The sequence below is a fragment of the Homo sapiens genome, chromosome 1 (assembly GCF_000001405.40).
Source record: "Homo sapiens chromosome 1, GRCh38.p14 Primary Assembly".
In the NCBI taxonomy this organism is placed as follows: Eukaryota; Metazoa; Chordata; class Mammalia; order Primates; family Hominidae; genus Homo; species Homo sapiens.
The window spans coordinates 51799732-51818324 of record NC_000001.11 but is presented as its reverse complement, the minus strand read 5'-3'; the positions used below and the strand labels follow the sequence as shown (position 1 = coordinate 51818324).

General features: G+C 37.6%; 1 protein-coding gene across 3 annotated transcripts in view; it reads left to right on the top strand.

Moving 5' to 3' along the window:
* Window positions 1-18593, top strand: part of NRDC (nardilysin convertase) — an 89518-nt gene that overhangs the window by 60403 nt on the left and 10522 nt on the right. For all 3 annotated transcript variants that reach the window (NM_001101662.2, NM_002525.3, NM_001242361.2), the window contains 12 exons: window positions 190-259; window positions 1936-2013; window positions 3512-3632; window positions 3716-3774; window positions 4236-4290; window positions 6227-6331; window positions 7921-8044; window positions 8924-9010; window positions 11412-11531; window positions 12764-12815; window positions 14361-14511; window positions 17642-17769. In NM_001101662.2, coding sequence (NP_001095132.1) covers window positions 190-259; window positions 1936-2013; window positions 3512-3632; window positions 3716-3774; window positions 4236-4290; window positions 6227-6331; window positions 7921-8044; window positions 8924-9010; window positions 11412-11531; window positions 12764-12815; window positions 14361-14511; window positions 17642-17769 — 1150 coding nt within the window. The remainder of the gene's footprint in view (window positions 1-189; window positions 260-1935; window positions 2014-3511; window positions 3633-3715; window positions 3775-4235; window positions 4291-6226; window positions 6332-7920; window positions 8045-8923; window positions 9011-11411; window positions 11532-12763; window positions 12816-14360; window positions 14512-17641; window positions 17770-18593) is intronic.

The following is an 18593-nucleotide window of genomic DNA, read 5'->3' as shown; positions in this document are numbered from 1 at the left end:
AAATAAAAAAGAAATTTACAAAAATTGCATTATTCGAGTTGGAAAATTGGCAAGTTGAAACAATAACTGCATTGTACTTAACCTTTCCTTGTTTATTGGAGGATAAATATATTGAATTTTAAACATTCTTGTAGTAAAAGTCATAGAGAAACACTTACATCTGTTCTTCTGGAAAATATTTTTGTTTAGTTGTTCCAATCAGAAAAATTCATGCTCTGACCATCACATGGGCACTTCCTCCTCAACAGCAACATTACAGGTAAGAGTTTAAGGGAAAATTTACTTCATTAGAACCAAGTGAGAGTAATTTTTAAAGCATGCTAAATGGTTTAAGTTTGGGGGTTCTGAATTTATAAACATAGCAATACGGTAACCTGGAACTTGATTACTCCGGGAGCTTTCAAGCCTTGCTATGTATTTTACTATTTTTTGGATATAAAAACTAGAGCTTTCTCAGTTATAGTGGCCTTTCTTAAGTCTTTGAAATTAAGTGTTTAGTGTGAATGCTAACTTTTGTAATTTGTTTCGATCTTGTCAAAAATAAAGTTAAATAATTTGGGCCTGGCAGACTGGCCAACATAGCGAAACCCTGTCTCGACTAAAAATATCAAAAAACTAGCCAAGGCGTGGTGGCACACACCTGTAATCCCAGCTACTCAGGTGGCTGAGGCACGAGAATTGTTTGAAGCTGAGAGGTGGAGGTTGCAGTGAGTTGATATTGCGCCACTGCACTCCAGCCTGGGTTGACAAAGCAAGACTCTGTCTCAAAATAATAATAATTTGGATTGGTAATATGACTAGGGTACATAAATCCCAAGGATTTACTCCTCTGAATTAGGGCAGGTTTATGCAGATTGGGAAAGGAGTTCTACTTGTCTGTATAGTTATCTTATATGAGCAGTGTAGCATGGGCCAGAGAATTATTTAAGTTAAGGATCAGTCAATGCCTACAAATGCTTTTCCAGTTAGAAATAAATGCTAATCAACTGATAAAAATTTAACTTTTTTGGGAGGGGGGGTGGGGCTCAAGCAGTCCACTCACCTTGGCCTCCCAAAGTGCTGGGATTACAGACATGAGCCACTGTGCCCAGCCAAATTCATATTTTAAACAAGGTTGTATGGGCTTTAAGGATTGCCTAACATAGTTGAAAATCATATCTTGACATTCAAGAATTTACTGAATTTAACTGTGTAACCTAATTAAATTTTCTCATATATACAGAAATATACAGAAAACTCAATTTTTTTCTGTATGTCTTTGTGGTAGGAATACTTTAACAAAATTACAGTAGAGGCCAGGGGGAAAGACAGTTTGAACAGCATGTGCACAATTACTCGGACTATTACATTATTAGTATGTGATAAAGCATTTTTATACTTGTTATTGCATTTTCATGAAAACTCTGTGAGTAAGTAGTTGGGCAAGTGAAGAGAAAAAGAAGAATACGGTTAAGTATCTTGCTCAAGGTCATGATTTACTTAAAGGAAAAACTAAAACTAGAACCAAGATTTTCTGACCCTCTGAACAACACATTTCATTTTACCACAGAACCCAATGTGGTACCAAAAGCTTTTACAGACAGTAATTCATACCTATATTAGGTTCTAGACTGATAAGGAATCTACATTTCATATTGGGTGAAGCAAAAAGATTTATCATGAGAGCAGATAAGTTTGGTGTCCAAGAGAAAAAGTAGTGCCCTTAAATTTTGGGATGATTGTACTCTTCAGTAATCTCAAATGAAAGAGTTAATTTTACTATATTTTCTGTTTTTATCTTCCTGCTACTAAATTAATTATAATTTCATGTTTAGTGGACATATGTGAGAATAAGTTTGTGATTATATTTTCAATTATTGTAGCCTTAGAGGTAAGATTTTCTGGTGTATTTATACCTTTTGTTTTTTTCTTCTGACCATTAAATTTTTTTAAAAGGGTGAAGCCACTTCATTATATATCCTGGCTGGTTGGACATGAAGGCAAAGGCAGCATTCTTTCTTTCCTTAGGAAAAAGCAAGTATTCAATTAATAAGTATTTTCAGTATAGCAATCTCTGAAAAATAGTAGACAATAAGTATTATATAATGCATTCTTTTACTTTAGCTGCCAGGAAGCCTAGAATAAAATTTAATGCTTAATTATAGTTATTTTAATAACTTACATTATTTTAATGGCCATATTATATTTGTGTATTTCCTTGTAAGCCACCTTTTAGCCCATTGTTGGAAGTTATTTGTACACAAAATTTTAAAAAATCATAAATGAAATTAATAGATTCCAGAATTACATAAAAGAATTAGCTCTAATCAAGAATTTATATTTGACTGAATGGTAAAGAAATCAATTATTTAAATGCCATGGATCTCCAGGCTTTCCTAACCCCCAAGGCTAGACTTTAATGAAAACTTCATTGGGTAGGTAAATCATAGTTAATAGGTGGGACTGCAAATGGTATATGCAGCCATGTTAGCAGAATGTTTCCTAAGCATTAAAGCACCTGTTTAAGTCACCTATAGCCAAATAATAGAAATACAATTTTAGAATCAAGACTAATATATTAAAGTAATTCCTTGTTTGATTTTTCTATAAATGAATAGTATGAGAATGGAAGGATAGATGAGACATTTAAATAAGTATTTTTAAGACACTTTCGTGTACTAGAACATTCAAAGAAAACTAAGAGGGGAGAGTTAACTATAAAATAATAAACTAATGATATTGGGTTCATATGTACCTTACACAATATATGTTATATGCTTTGAGCTGTGCACAACCTTTCTACCTTACTGAGCTTTATTAGAATTTCAGACTCTATTCTGGTGTCCTCTCTTTTTAATTTTTCAGAATTAATCTAGTCAGGGAAAGGTATAGTCTCATTATTTCTTTCTTAGACAACCTATGTAGGTTAGCTGACAGCCTCAAAGAACTCACTTGACATTCAATGTAAGTATGTTTTAGAAGTGTCTTAAGGCTTCTCCTAGGAGACAGGTTCAAAAATGGTGAGGCCAGGCGCGGTGGCTCACGCCTGTAATTCCAGCACTTGGGAGGCCGAGGTGGAGGATTGCTTGAGCCCAGGAGTTCGAGACCAGACTGGGCAACATTGTAAGACCCTGTCTTTATTAAAAAAAAAAAAAAAAAAAAAGAAAAAAAGGTAAGCAAAATGCTTTCCAGCAGCCATCATTTGAATATTTTGTGCTGTTCTCTTCAAAAGGAATGGTTTTGGCTTAATAAAACTGTTAATGTTTTATTATGGTGCCATATCTATTCGTATTTGCATTAAACAAAGACTGTTATTTCCTTCTGGTGATTCCTAAATGTACCACAATTCCTTGGGAGGCTTTGTGCTTTTAAAATTTGCACTTTTAGATTTACTGTTGGAAAGTATATGTTTACATTCAAAGGCTGAGATTTCCACATTTTACATAGAAAGCCTCTATATTTTGTTAATTTGAATGTCTGTAGACTGTCAATCCAGGAACATTGATTGGGTTAATTTTTTCCCCACCTGTAGATGCTGGGCTCTTGCACTGTTTGGTGGAAATGGTGAGACAGGATTTGAGCAAAATTCTACTTATTCAGTGTTCAGCATTTCTATTACATTGACTGATGAGGGTTATGAACATTTTTATGAGGTAAATAATTCAAATTCAGTTGTTTTTTCCTTTTACGTAGATATCACTTTATGCAAAAGACTAATTGGATGTTTTGTTTTCAGGTTGCTTACACTGTCTTTCAGTATTTAAAAATGCTGCAGAAGCTAGGCCCAGAAAAAAGGTAATAAACACTTCCTGGAATGAGGCCAGGAGCCAGTCCTGGTATATTTGAGGCTTCAGGCTGCCGGTAGACATGCTTTAGTCTTGCCTTGATGGTTTTTCAGGCATTTTCTGCTCTATTTCCTTTATTGACTCCATATCCTTATCCCTCTACATGTGATTGTATACTAAGGCTTTACACATATGTGGGCAGTCCCTTTATTTTCACGCTTCTCTTTTATTGTTGATGCTTCTATTGAGAATTTTTTAAACTTTTATTCTAGGTTCAGGGGTATATGTGCAGGTTTGTTATGTAGGTAAACTTGTGTCACGGTGGTTTGTTGTACAGATTATTTTGTCACCCAGGTACTAAGCCTACTACCCAATAGTTACCTTTTCTGATCCTCTCCCTCCTCCCGCCCTTCTCCCTCAAGTAGGCAGAAATTTTAATGTATCTTCTAATTATAGTTTTCTCCTTCACAGAATTTTTGAAGAGATTCGGAAAATTGAGGATAATGAATTTCATTACCAAGAACAGGTACTGGAAGTCAAATTCTTTTTGCATGTTATCTGTGACTGAGTTGAAGCTGGTGTAGACATTGTTCCTCTTTTTGAAAGTGTCGGTGGAGTTTTAATTCTGTCATTCTGTGTCATGTGAGTCTCCAGGTGGCCTTGAAGCTATCTGAAAATTAACTATTGGGTTTTTGAGTATTTATATTGAGTAAGATAAGGCAGTGAGAGGATTAAGCAGATGACACAGATGATGTTGTGTGGTAATCATTTATCTACATAGTCATCCATCTATCCCTTCAATAAACATTCATGGAGACTTGTTATGGTATTTAATATTTTGGGAATTCAAATATTGTGAAGACATTCTATAAGGTAATTTATATTTACCATGTATAATGTTAGAAACATTGTGCTTTGGAATTCAGGGGAAGGAGAGCATTTTCCTTGATTGAAATAGGCTCACAGGCTGGGCACTGTGGCTCATGCCTGTAATCCAAGCATTTTGGGAGGTCGAGCAGGCAGGTTGCTTGAGCCCAGGCATCTAGTAAAGGACTGGGCAGTGTGGTGTTTTGGGAAGCGTATGGGATATGTTATGAGGTCAGAGTTCTGATGTCCGCTCTGCCTGTCGTTTACTCACTGTGTGACCTTAGGCAAGCCATCTAGCCATCTAGTCAGGAAAAATCCGACTATGTTTCCTCATTGTAAAACATGGGACTGGAACCACTTGGTATCTGAAGGACCTGTCAGTTTTAAGAGTCTGTGTATCTGGGTGCTCGGTAAATACTTGAATTGACTACGTTCCTCTGGAAAAATATTTCCATTTCATGTATCAGTGAACAAGTGGTCATTCTTTCAGTTTTAAATTAAAATAATATTTTTATTAATATAACTTCTTATCGCAAGACTTTTATCTGACAGTCACATTTTAATTTTTTTAAAATTTTAATTAGAGACAGGGTCTTGCTGTGTTGCCCAGGCTTACCTCAAACTGGGCTCAAGTTATCCTCCCTCATTGGCCTCCCAAAGTGGTAGGATCACAGGCATGAGCCACCATGCCCAGTCAACACATTTTGATTTTTTTTTTTTTTTTTTTTTTTTGAGACAGAGTCTTGCTCTGTCATCTGGGCAGGAGTGCGGTGGCATGATCTTGGCTCACTGCAACCTCCGCCTCCCAGGTTCAAGCTATTCTCCTGCCTCAGCCTCCCAAATAGCTGGAACTACAGGCATGAGCCACTGTGCCCGGCCCAACACATTTTGATTTCTACATTGATTTGATTCATGCTTACAAATAGTGTTTAGACGATAGTGCTGTAGTGATAGGTTGCCTGTCTTTATTGCTCACATAATCATGTGGGGCACTTGACTGGTAAACAGGCATTCATAGTCCAGTGTGGTAATTGCTCTCATGAAGAGGCTGTGATATGACTAGAACCTAATGGGTTATAGGGCTCAGAGTGATGCATGAAGGGTATGAGTTTAAGCTCCCTAAGGGAGTAGCTATGGCTATATTTTCTTAGAATTTTTTTTTTTTGGAGATAGGGTCTTGCTTTGTTGCCCATGCTGGAGTATGGTGGCACGATCTCAGCTCACTGCAGCTTCAACCTCCTGGGCTCAAGCATCCCTCCCACCTCAGCTCCCCAAGGAGCTGACACTACAGGCGTGTACTGCCACACCTGGCTTATTTTTGCATTTTTTGTAAAGACAGGGTTTCGCCATGTTGCCCAGGCTGGTCTCAAGTAATCTAACCACCTCTGTCTCCCAAATGCTGGGATTACAGGCGTGAGCCACTATGTCCAGCCTACTGAGCATCAGATTCTTAAGCTGCAATTATATCTCGTTGTATCTGTTCAGAAGCTTTTGGTTTTATTGTTAATAAGAAAGGGAGAAAGTATTTGTATGTTGTGGTAAATCAAATATAATAATGGAGAAGTTCTGGTGTGAAATAATTTACCTCTTTACAGACAGATCCAGTTGAGTATGTGGAAAACATGTGTGAGAACATGCAGCTGTACCCATTGCAGGACATTCTCACTGGAGATCAGCTTCTTTTTGAATACAAGCCAGAAGTAAGGAGGTTTATACGTCTAAAACTTACTTTTAGGGGAAGAGGAGGGTGAGAAAGTACGAAGATGTATTTAAGAACCATGGGAACGAAGAAAACTTAGTTATATTTAGTCAGGATTTTTGTTTGTTTAAACAGAAGTATCAACAGTTTTGTGAATAATTTCTCATGGTTCTTTTACATAATTAAGTTTTAATATAAGGAGAAAATCAAACTCAGTACTTGTTAGGTCCTATTTTAATAATTTTCAAATGTTGAAACATCTACTGCAATAGATGAAGTGATTCCTAAGAATTATGTGGTTTCCCTGTGAAAAATACGTAGTTGTTTAGCTTACCTTTTAATTCAGTTGGAGAGTCAGGACAATTAAATTTTTAATCATTTTGAAAATATTTATTAAAAAAATGTAAGGTTCCCGAATTAGAAACATATGACTTAGGGATAATGTTACATGCCAATACATTGTCGGTCAGGGTCATTCCTTCACTAGTGGAGAATAAGTCATTTTGTTTCATACAGGCTAGCGCGCGTCAACCAGAGGTGACTTTTGCCTTCCAGGGGATATTTATCACTGTCCGGAGACATTTTGGTTGTCACAACTCAGGGTGGGGCGTGGGGTGCTCCTGGGATCCAGTGGGTGGAAGCCAGGGATGCTGCTCAATGTCCTATAATGCAGAAGGCAGGATCCTACCATAGTTATTTGACACAAGATGTTCATAGTGCTGAGATTAAGAAATTATAGGGCATTCCTTGAGATATTTTAGCATAGACGTTCCTAAACTATTAATTTTAAAGAGGACAGGGAAAGGTAAAGGAGGAAGGAACAACCACACATTCTTGCCATGTCACTAGGATGGTTGTGCCTGGTAGTGGCTGGTTGTGTTTTTTTCTGAACCACCATTTGTTGTTTTATACTTAAATAAATGGTGTTTAAGTAGTAGTTAGGGCTCCAAACCAAGCCACAAAATTCTGTTTAGTCCTTATTGTAGCTGGAGGATTACTGAAGGAGGCCCTATCTTGGCAGTGTTTTACTGATTCCTGGATATGAAGTGATACAAAACATAGCTGTTAGGAGCATAGTCCTTGGTAGCATGTACAAATTTAGTTAGAACTCCACTTTTGCCACTTCTAGCTGTATTATTCTGTACAAGTTACATAATCTTTAACCTGAGCAAATTACTTAACCATCACCCAAAGCTGACTGTTATTTTGTGTAAATAAGTATATCTTAGGATTGTTTTTAGGAATAAATGAAATAATGTATGTTAAATACTTCCTGGCTCACAGTAGAAGCTTAGTAGTAAAGGATAGCTATTTTTACTGCTAATGCTGTTAATATGTAGGATTTAAGATAAACACTGTTTAAAGCATTATCAAGAATATACTTGATATTTGTCAACTATACCTCAATAAAGTAGGAAAAAAGTTTTTGAAACACTGTTGAGACTTTGTAAATTAGGGTGTTCATGAACTGTAGGTATTTTTATGAGCATAGATCTTGGAGGTGCCTAACAATGTGATTTTTGCCTTTTTAACAGAGATGTATTAGGTTAAAATTGTGTGTATCTCTTTCCCCTCTTCCCACTTTACTAGGTCATTGGTGAAGCCTTGAATCAGCTAGTTCCTCAAAAAGCAAATCTTGTTTTACTGTCTGGTGCTAATGAGGGAAAATGTGACCTCAAGGAGAAATGGTTTGGAACTCAATATAGTATAGAAGGTAAAATATTTTAACAATTGTCTTACATTTAGGTATATTTAACTTACCTGGAAATGTTTATTCTTTAATAATTTAATGGTTCTAGAGGGGGAAAAAGTATAATTTTTTAAAAAGTTCACTTTGAAATGAAAATTACTTATACTACTGCACAGGAAGTTATTTTCTGCTATGTTTATATTTACTAACTAGTGAAAAAATTCTGTTATCTTGGTATTTTGGGGGCAGAGTTTTGACTTAGTTTTAGAAGAATGCTTCTCAAATGTAGTGTGCATTTTTGTCACTTGGAGATCTTACTAAAATGCAGATTCTGAGTCAGAGGGTCTGGGTAGGGCCTGAGATTCTGCATTTCTCTTTTTTCTTTTCTTTTTTTTTTTTGAGACAGAGTTTTGCTCTTGTTGCTCAGGCTGGAGTGCAGTGGTGCGATCTTGGCTCACTGCAACTTCTTTTGCCCCCTGGGTTCAAGCAATTCTCCTGTCCCTGCTTCCCAAGTAGCTGGGATTACAGGCATATGCCACCATGCCCGGCTAATTTTGTATTTTTAGTAGAAATCTGTCTGGGGTTTCACCATGTTGGTCAGTCTGGTCTTGAACTCCTGATCTTAGGTGATCCACCCACCTCAGCCTCCCAACGTGTTGAGCTTACAGGTGTGAGCCACCGTGCCTGGCCAGATTCTGCATTTCTGACAATCTCCCAGGTGATGCCAGTGCTGCTAGGACCACACTTTGAGTAGCACGATTCTAGAATGCCTGGATATGTGTCAGTCACAGTATTCCTGAGAAAGGATAATTGATTTGTAAGCCAGTTGATAACTAGTTTATTATTAAGAGAATGTTGAACATTGCATTGTTTATTGGGTCAGTTTATTTTTCTCCTTTACAGATATTGAAAACTCTTGGGCTGAACTGTGGAATAGTAATTTCGAATTAAATCCAGATCTTCATCTTCCAGCTGAAAACAAGTACATAGGTCAGTAAAATAGCAATTTTTATACATAATCCATCCATGTGCTAATAGGCACCTGTATAGCACATTATATTTTACAAAGTATCGTAGGAATTTATATTTGAGATTCCCAGTAACATTCTGAGGTTGGCATTAGTATTTTCTTACTTTTCCAAATGAGAAAACTGGGGGTCAAAAAAGCAAAGTGACTGGTACAAGACTATTCAGTTGGTGAATAAGAAACCAGGATTTAAACACAGATCTTGGGACTCTGAAGTTTATGCTTTATCTTGTATAGAGTAGCTGATCCTTTCATACCAATCTCCTTAGGGATTGCCATTATCTTGCCAGATTTTTCTATTGCTTTTCAAACTGCAGGTGGCAGCCCATTAGAAGGTTGTGAAGTCAATGTAATAGATTGTAAGGTCAGTGTAATGAGCCATGAAAGCATTAAAAAATCAGTTAGAATAGAAAATAGCAAAGTGTTTCATTGCATGTAGAAATAATGTTATTTTAAGAACTTTTGTTTCAGATATCTGCCTGTCTACTAGCTTGCAGTGGAAAACATATTTCTAAGTGAGTTGCAGAAAAAAATCATTGAAAGCTACCAATCCTAGGTCCAAGGTTTTAGAGTTGCTTATAACTGTAATTTACTCAGAACACTGTATTTCCAAGCCATTCATTACATGTCTAAGTATATACCCAAAATAATTGAAAACAGGTACTCAAACAAATACATGGACCTTCATGTTCACAGAGCACTGTTCACAATACTCAAAAGATGGAAACAGCCCAAATGTCCATCAGTGGATGAATGTATAAACAAATTGTGATGTATACATACTTTACAATATTACTCATAAAAAGTGTAGTACTGATACATACTATAATGGGGAAGAACCTTGCAAACATCATGCTAAGTGAAAGAAGCTAGACACAAAAGGTCACAGATAAGTCCATGTATACGAAATATTCAGAATAGATAAATCCAGAGACAGAACATAGATTGATGATTGCTAGGGGCTGAGGTGAGTGGGTAATGAGGAGCAGTCTCTTAAGGAGTAGGGGGTTTCCTTTTGGGGTGATGAAAATGATTTGGAACTAGCTAGAAGTGGTAGTTGCACAACATCGTGAATGTATTAATGCTTCTGAATTGTTCACTTTAAAATAGCTAAGTTTATGTTATGTGAATCTCCCTTTCATTAGGGAAAAAAAGCCTTTTAAAAAAGTATTGGCCAGGTGCCATGGCTCATACCTGTAATCCCAGCACTTTGGGAGGCCAAGGCAGGCACATCACCTGAGGTCAGGAGTTTGAGACCAGCCTGAGGAACATGGAGAAACCCCATCTCTCCAAAAAAATACAAAATTAGCCAGGCGTGGTGGCGCATGCCTGTAATCCCAGCTATTTGGGAGGCTAAGGCAGGAGAATCACTTGAACCCAGGAGGCCGAGGTTGCAGTGAGTTGAGATCGCACCATTGCACTCCAGCCTGGGCAACAAGAGTGAAACTCCATCACACACGCCAAAAAAAAAAAAAAAAAAAGTATTAATTATCTATATTAGACACTTCAGTTTCATATCTTGAACTGTAAATAATCTAAACAACCCAGTTAGCTTATTATTTTGGTTTTCTGAGTTAGGGTTTTACTCTGTTGCCCAGGTTGGAGTGCAGTGGCATGATCATGGCTCACTGCAGCCTTGACCTGCTGAACTCAAGCAGTCCTCCTGTGTCAGCCTCTTGAGTAGCTGGGATTACAGGTGCGCACCACAATGCCCAGCTAATTTTTAATTTGTTTCTAGAGATGTGGTCTCTCTATGTTGCCCAGGCTGGTCTCAAACTCCTGGCTTCAAGTGATCCTCCTGCTTCAGCCTTCTAAAGTGTTGGGATTACAGGCATGAGCCACCATGCCTACCAAATCCAGCTCTTTTACCTAAATATAGCAAGTACTCAAATTTTAAAAATTAGCTATTTTTCATCTATGTGATAATGAAACTGTTGTTTTAATTAACCAAAAGGACAAGTTTGACTTTGAGCAGAACTATTTTGTAACTTTTCAAATGTATAGCATAAGGTTGGTAAAAGGCATTCTCATGAATTAATGGATTGTTTAATAAATTGGTTTATGAAACTATCCTGACTAAAGGCTCCTCTCTCAGTTAAAATTGTCTGTAAGAAAGGGAATGAAGCAGAATGTGTAGCAACCAGAATCAGTTCTTGGGAAATTCCAGATCTTTAGAATTTATTTACTTTAAGACCAACATAGTTTTCCCTTTGGTATTGGTCTACTAATTTAATGTATTCCAACATTTGAATTTGGCTTATTTTTGCCACAGAGAAAAGTTACTTAGACTTCTGAAGCCAATAACAGATTACTGGGGCTCCTGCTGAAATACTTGAGTGAATTATTATTATCTTCTTTTATTAGCCACGGACTTTACGTTGAAGGCTTTCGATTGCCCGGAAACAGAATACCCAGTTAAAATTGTGAATACTCCACAAGGTTGCCTGTGGTATAAGAAAGACAACAAATTCAAAATCCCCAAAGGTAAAATGTTGCCCTCCTGTTACTTCCCTGCTGAATTCCAGTGTTCTCTTTAGATGCTCTGTTTCACATGTGATTATCTACTTGCTATTTTGATCTTCCTTTGTGGAGGAGGCTGGGGCTGGGTGCCTCTATCAGCCACCTTGATGCCCTCTCACCCTCCCTAAAAGGAGTAAAATAAGTAAAACAAATATTTCTCCACTTTGCTGTAACTTGCTTCCCCTGTGTATATCACCTACTTCTCTTTCCTTTTCCCCTTCCGTTTGAAGACTTTTTCTAGGCTTATCTACCAGATTTATACTGTCCTCCTATGCTGTCACAGAAATCCTTATGGACACTCCAGTGTCCAGGAAATGAAAATTTAAGGCTAGAATGAAATCGTTTTTAGATTTTTTTCTTTCAGTTAAATGAAAGCAGAGCCAGGTATTTGGCCATCTTAAGGAACTCGTGTGATTTGAACATTGTTGTTTTTAAAAAGAGATAAGAATACACAAAGGAATTATTCATAGACAGATAGCCTAGTCCAGCATTACAAATGTGAAAGCCCCACCAACTGCCTCCTTCTACCATTTTTTTTTCAGCATAAAGGAAGCATAGTATAGAGTTAAGTAGACTCTAAAGTCCTTATCTTTAATGTTGTGGCCCTAAGTGTGCTGCTTTTTACCGTTCTGTTCTTGAACATGGCATAAGGAACTTATTGAAGCCACATGGAATCATAGGCTGGGTGCTCTTGTATGTCATTTAACCCATATCCCCAACCTCAAAACACAACTATATTGTAGCTCTGTGGGATTATTGAGTTTATTGGGAAGTTATTTTCATAATTTTTTTTGAATAGCTTATGAGTTTCTAAAAATCTCCTCAAATTCAGTTTCCTTGGAAAGCCTCTGCTGTAAATTTGTGTGAATGCTGGAGTTGTTCTCTTAATGTTCTTAGCATCTGTCCTCTAAAAATTTTTCCTGACTGAAGCTATTAATAAGAGTATTTATAGGCCTCTCTAAGTATCTGCCCTTATGTCTGGTCTTCCCATAGATTAAAGAGTGCCTTTTGGAACTCTTTATTTGGAATGGTAAATACTGCTTTTTAAAGACCCTTAAGAATAAAGATGTAATGAGGATTTAAGGATTAGTAGTTTACTTCAGAATTTAAAAAATATATATATTAGGGGAAAATAACAGATGTATAAAATATCTGAGGCCCCTAACCTTTTTTATCTATGGTCTTTTTTCTTTTAGCATATATACGTTTCCATCTAATTTCACCGTTGATACAGAAATCTGCAGCAAAGTAAGCAATTGTCTTTTTTTCTGGAAAATACATTTTTTAGTTATTGAAAAACTATTTTGTTTCATTCTAAATCATTCTGTCATTTTCTCTATCCATATTTGAGCTATGTTGCTGATTTATGTATTTTTTTCTGTACTCCAAACAAGTTATTTGTATTATTACCAAACATTAAAATGGAACTGTGGCTGCTCCATTACCAGCACCCATTGGTAAAACATGCTGATAGTGTAGACTAGAGCAATTAGTTCCCAGTTACTGGATGGGGAAAAGTCCTTAAAGATCAGTTTGGGTGAGTGCCCAGTCTATAATGAGACTGATGGATCTGTTGATTCTGTATTTATAGACTACCAAGGAATGTGATTGTTCCTGTTCTTAGCAAATCCCTTATATATTTATGTAGATAGCTTTCATTGTGGGTGGTCGGAGACCCTAAAGTGTATCTGAACATAGGAGATATTTGGGAAATGTGTCTGAATATAGGAGATACTTGGGAAATGTGTCTGAATGTAGTTGATATTTCGGAAATGTGTCTGAATATAGGAGATACTTGGGAAATGTGTCTGAACGTAGTTGATACTTCGGAAATGTGTCTGAACCTAGGAGATACTTGGGAAATGTGTCTGAACATAGGAGATACTTGGGAAATGTGTCTGAACGTAGGAGATACTTGGGAAATGTGTCTGAACCTAGGAGATACTTGGGAAATGTGTCTGAATGTAGCAGATACTTGGGAAATGTATCTGAACTTAGGAGATACTTGGGAAATGTGTCTGAACCTAGGAGATACTTGGGAAATGTATCTGAACATAGGAGATATTTGGGAAATGTATCTGAACGTAGGAGATACTTGGGAAATGTGTCTGAACGTAGCAGATACTTGGGAAATGTGTCTGAACCTAGGAGATACTTGGGAAATGTGTCTGAACATAGCAGATACTTGGGAAATGTGTCTGAACGTAGGAGATACTTGGGAAATGTATCTGAACGTAGGAGATACTTGGGAAATGTGTCTGAACGTAGCGGATACTTGGGAAATGTGTCTGAACCTAGGAGATACTTGGGAAATGTGTCTGAACGTAGGAGATACTTGGGAAATGTTGGTGCATTTCTTCTTTCTTTTCCTACGTAACTGTAAAATCCAAACTTAAAATGACAAGCAGCACTAGAATTTGTTAATATTCACTCTAAAAAATGCATTCCCAAACTCATATTTTTAATTAGTCAGAATGCCTAGACTTGGAGGGTAGACAGAGCCTTCAGGCCAGTGCTGCTGATGCCTATTCCATTTACCTCATTGTACAATATAAATATTATCATTTTGCATGTGTACATGACATGAAAAAGATTGGGAAACACTGCTGAAGGTAGGAATTCTGTAATACACCTCTGAAACTGAATCCTGAGTAAGCTGTATTACCTTTTACATTCTGGAGTAGAGAATTTATACTTTCTAAAAATGAAGCTGCTTACTCTAAATTGAAGCAAATCTATTTCATGTGTCTTTCTTACCAATTAAAGATGCCATTTGCATTTTGTACTTCTTAGTGTGGTCCTCTTTGATATCTTTGTCAATATCCTTACGCATAACCTTGCGGAACCAGCTTATGAAGCAGATGTGGCACAGCTGGAGTATAAACTGGTAGCTGGAGAACATGGTTTAATTATTCGAGTGAAAGGATTTAACCACAAACTACCTGTAAGTACAAGTACTCTGTTTTCCTTATAGAGAGCATTAAAATACCATATTTATTTAGAGGTTTGTGCATGGGATGCTGTATAGAGAAATAAATGTTTATTAATGTGGATTATCTTGAATATTCTTGGCTGATGACAGCTATTCTAACTGTGACTGACTATCCATAAGAACAACATATGTTTCATTAATTACTGGCAGTGCATGGGATTATAGCCCATGCTTTAGGATTGATTTCACTTCCCTTTGCTGTCAGTTTCTCCACAACCAACACTGGCATTTAGGATTGGTTCTAGCTAAATTTTTTACCATACAGGAATAACCTTTTTTTTTTTTTTTTTTGAGACAGATACTCACTCCATCACCCAGACTGGAATGCAGTGGTGTGATCTTGGTTCACTGCAACCTCCGCCTCCCGGGTTCAATCAGTTCTCATGCCTCAGCCTGCTGAGTAGCTGGGACTACAGGCACGCACCACCACACCCAGCTAATTTTTGTATTTTTAGTAGAGATGGGGTTTCTCCGTGTTGGCCAGGCTGATCTCGAACTCCTGACCTCAAGTGATCTGCCTGCCTCAGCCTCTGAAAGTGCTGGGATTATAGGCGTGAGCCACCATGCCGGCTGTGGAATAACAAATTTGACTGGTGTTTTGCCTGAAATAGAGTAGAACTCAAATGCTTGTGCCCTTACTTCCTCATCTTATGCTCCTCATTGTTTCAAGTATGTGTGTCTTGTTTCCCTTCTAAGTTTATGAACCTTTCCGAAGCAGGGTCTGTATCATGTCAGTTATTAATCTCTTAGTGAGAAATATGTTCCAGTATTGCTTCATCAAAAACTTCATAAGAGGAGGAAAAAATAATGGGTTGTTAGCTAAGAGAGTTAGATTACTGAATACCAGGTAAAGCAATATAATATACTCAATAATAAATTTTATATCTAGGTTTCTTGGGTAGAATATATATTATATTAAGATTTAGGGAAATAGGGTTATACAAGAAAAATTTTAGAGGAAAGGACCTGCCAGAAAGACCTGTGCTAGGTGTTAATAGCCTTCATCTGGGCAAAAACCCAAGAGAAGAGTATAGCTCTCACCTTTTTATGCCTTTTCCCTTCTCCATCTCCCCATGGAACAAAGATTGGTCTCAGAAGGAGACGCCATCAGTAAAGAACTATCAGCGGACATTACATTAACTGATAAAATGATGATCACTGACATCAGCAACAAGCCAAGAATAATTTTACTTTGTCAGCCTCTGAGGCCTAAATATAATGTAGCTTAAGTTTCAAGCAGATTAAAGCCTAATTCAGTGGTTGTCATTTGGAAAATATGTTTTAGAATTACCTGGAGAGCTTATTAAAAATACAAACCATGGAAAAGTATTTGATATTCTTGAATTTGTGAGACTTAGCCTTAATATTAAAACCTAATATATAACATATATATATGTATGTATGTATGTATAGAAAACTAGAGATCAATTTTATCTGTAGAATATAGATGTAAACTTTCTAAAAATTAAATCCAGTTTAGCAAAAAGAATAATTCAAGTACCAGGAATGCTAGGGTTGTGGAATATTAGGAAATTGATGATCATAAGTCACCACAACACAAGTCAAAGGAGAGCCACTGTATGAATATAGTGATAAATGCTGATAAATCATTTGATAAATTTGAGTTGGCATTCCTAATACATAGGAATGGAAGGAAATTAATTAAGTATAAAAACCTCAGCCTGGCGCGGTGGCTCACGCCTGTAATCCCAGTGCTTTGAGAGGCTGAGGCGGGCGGATCACGAGGTCAGGAGATCGAGATCATCCTGGCTAACACAGTGAAACCCCGTCTCTACTAAAGATACAAAAAATTTGCCAGGCGTGGTGGCAGGCGCCTGTAGTCTCAGCTACTCGGGAGGCTGAGGCAGGAGAATGGTGTGACCCTGGGAGGCGGAGCTTGAAGTGAGCCGAGATCGCGCCACTGCATTCCAGCCTGGGCAATAGAGCGAAGACTCCATCTCAAAAAAAAAATCAAAAAACCTCAAGTAAAGAACTATCAGCGGACATTACATTAACTGATAAAATGATGAACACTGACATCAGCAACAAGCCAAGAATAATCCACAATCATCTCTATTATTCTGTTATTGTTTTAGAGGTTCTGGCTATTAGAGTAAGATGAAAAAATAAAAACTTTTTTGGAAAAAATATTTTTCCTTGCAGATGATATGATTGTATTCTTAGAAAACCTCATATACCACTAAAATTAAAAAAAAAATTAGGTGTGATATGGCTGGTCAAAAGACTAGTATATCAGAATCAATGGCTTTTTCTCCCCCATAGTACCAGTAATCACTTAGAAATGGAAGCCAGGCACAGTGGGATGTGCCGGTGGTCCCAACTCCTCCGGAGTATGAGGCAGGAGAAATACTTGAGTTTGAGGATACTTAGCTATGATCGTGTCACTAGCCTGTGCGATATAGCGAGGCTCTGTCTCTTAAAAAAAGAAAGAAACAAATGGATGGAAACAATCTTACATTTATTTACAATATTGAGAAAAAAAAGCCAATAAAATGGCTAAGAATAAACAGGAAAAGTATAGGATCTATCTGAAGACAAACTACAAATCTTATTGAGAACACCCATGAAATGATAAAAAAGGAAGAATTGTTCCAAATTTGACAATTATTTAGAATTTTGGACCCTTAAGATTCTTTGAGGCTAGGAGGCTGAGGCAGGAGGATCACTTGAGGCCACGAGTTTGAGACCAGCCTGGCAACATAAGAAGACCTTGTCTGTACAAAAGCAAAAAAATTAGCCGGGCATGGTGGCCCCTGTCTGTAGTCCCAGCTACTCAGGAGGCTGAGGTGGGAGTATGGCTAGAGCCTAGGCATTCGAGGTTATAATGAATTACAGTCGATAGTACCACTGCACTCCAGCCTGGGTGACCAGTGATATCCTGTCTCCAGGTAACACCCAAACAAACAAACGAACAAATTGAGTTGTTAGTAATTTTCTTATGTCCCCCCACAATGCCTAGTTCCATGCTGGGTACCTGGTAAAAACCAAAGAGAAACATTTCCCTCCCTAATACCTAGTGGATTTCCATGCTTCTTAAAATGCTTCCTTCTTTTTCTTTTAGCTACTGTTTCAGCTCATTATTGACTACTTAGCTGAGTTCAATTCCACACCAGCTGTCTTTACAATGATAACTGAGCAGTTGAAGAAGACCTACTTTAACATCCTCATCAAGCCCGAGACTTTGGCCAAGTGGGTATAAATGAGATGAGCTTATATTTTGAGGACCTGAAAGTATTACTCTCCCTAGTGGGTGGGTGTGGGGGTTAAGGCTATAGTTGCAGTGCTAATTTTCATCCGTGTTTGAATCGTGCTCTAGTTTAGGAGACCCGTGCATAGCGTTACGGTATTTCTAAACCCAGCTTATGTAGCTAGCTGTGAATGGGACTGAAAGCAGCTTACTGTAGAGACTAAAAGTAAGGAAGGGTGTTTTCACCAATCATTATACCTGAATGTTAAAGAAGTGCTAGTTTTAGGCCGGGCATGGTAGCTTATATCTGTAATCCCAGCACTTTGAGAAGCTGAGGTGGGAGGATCACAAGCCTAGAAGTTCAAGACTAGCCTGGGCAATATAGCAAGACTTCATCTCTACAAAAAATTAAAAAATTAGCTGGGTGTGGTGGCACATGCCTGTAGTCCCAGCTACTTGGCAGACTGAGGTGGGAGGATTGCTTGAGCCCAGGAGGTTGAGGCTGCAGTGAACCATGATCATGCCACCGCACACCAACCTGCATGACAGAGATAGACCCTGTCTCATAGAAAAACAAACAAAAAACAAACCAGAAGAAGTATTTACTGGTGATTTTAGTATGTTGGTGATTAGTAGCTGAGTTAAATTGCTAAACATGTCACTTATCTAGCAATCTTAACTATCCAGAATTCAGCCAAGCTTCCAGAAGAGAGCAGAAAGGCAGCTACACAGTCTGTATGCTAATACTTAAACCCTCTGCTCACAGGCAACCCCCTTGGGCCTTCATTCAGAGCCTGTTCTTACTACTTTAGTCCAGGGCTAATTG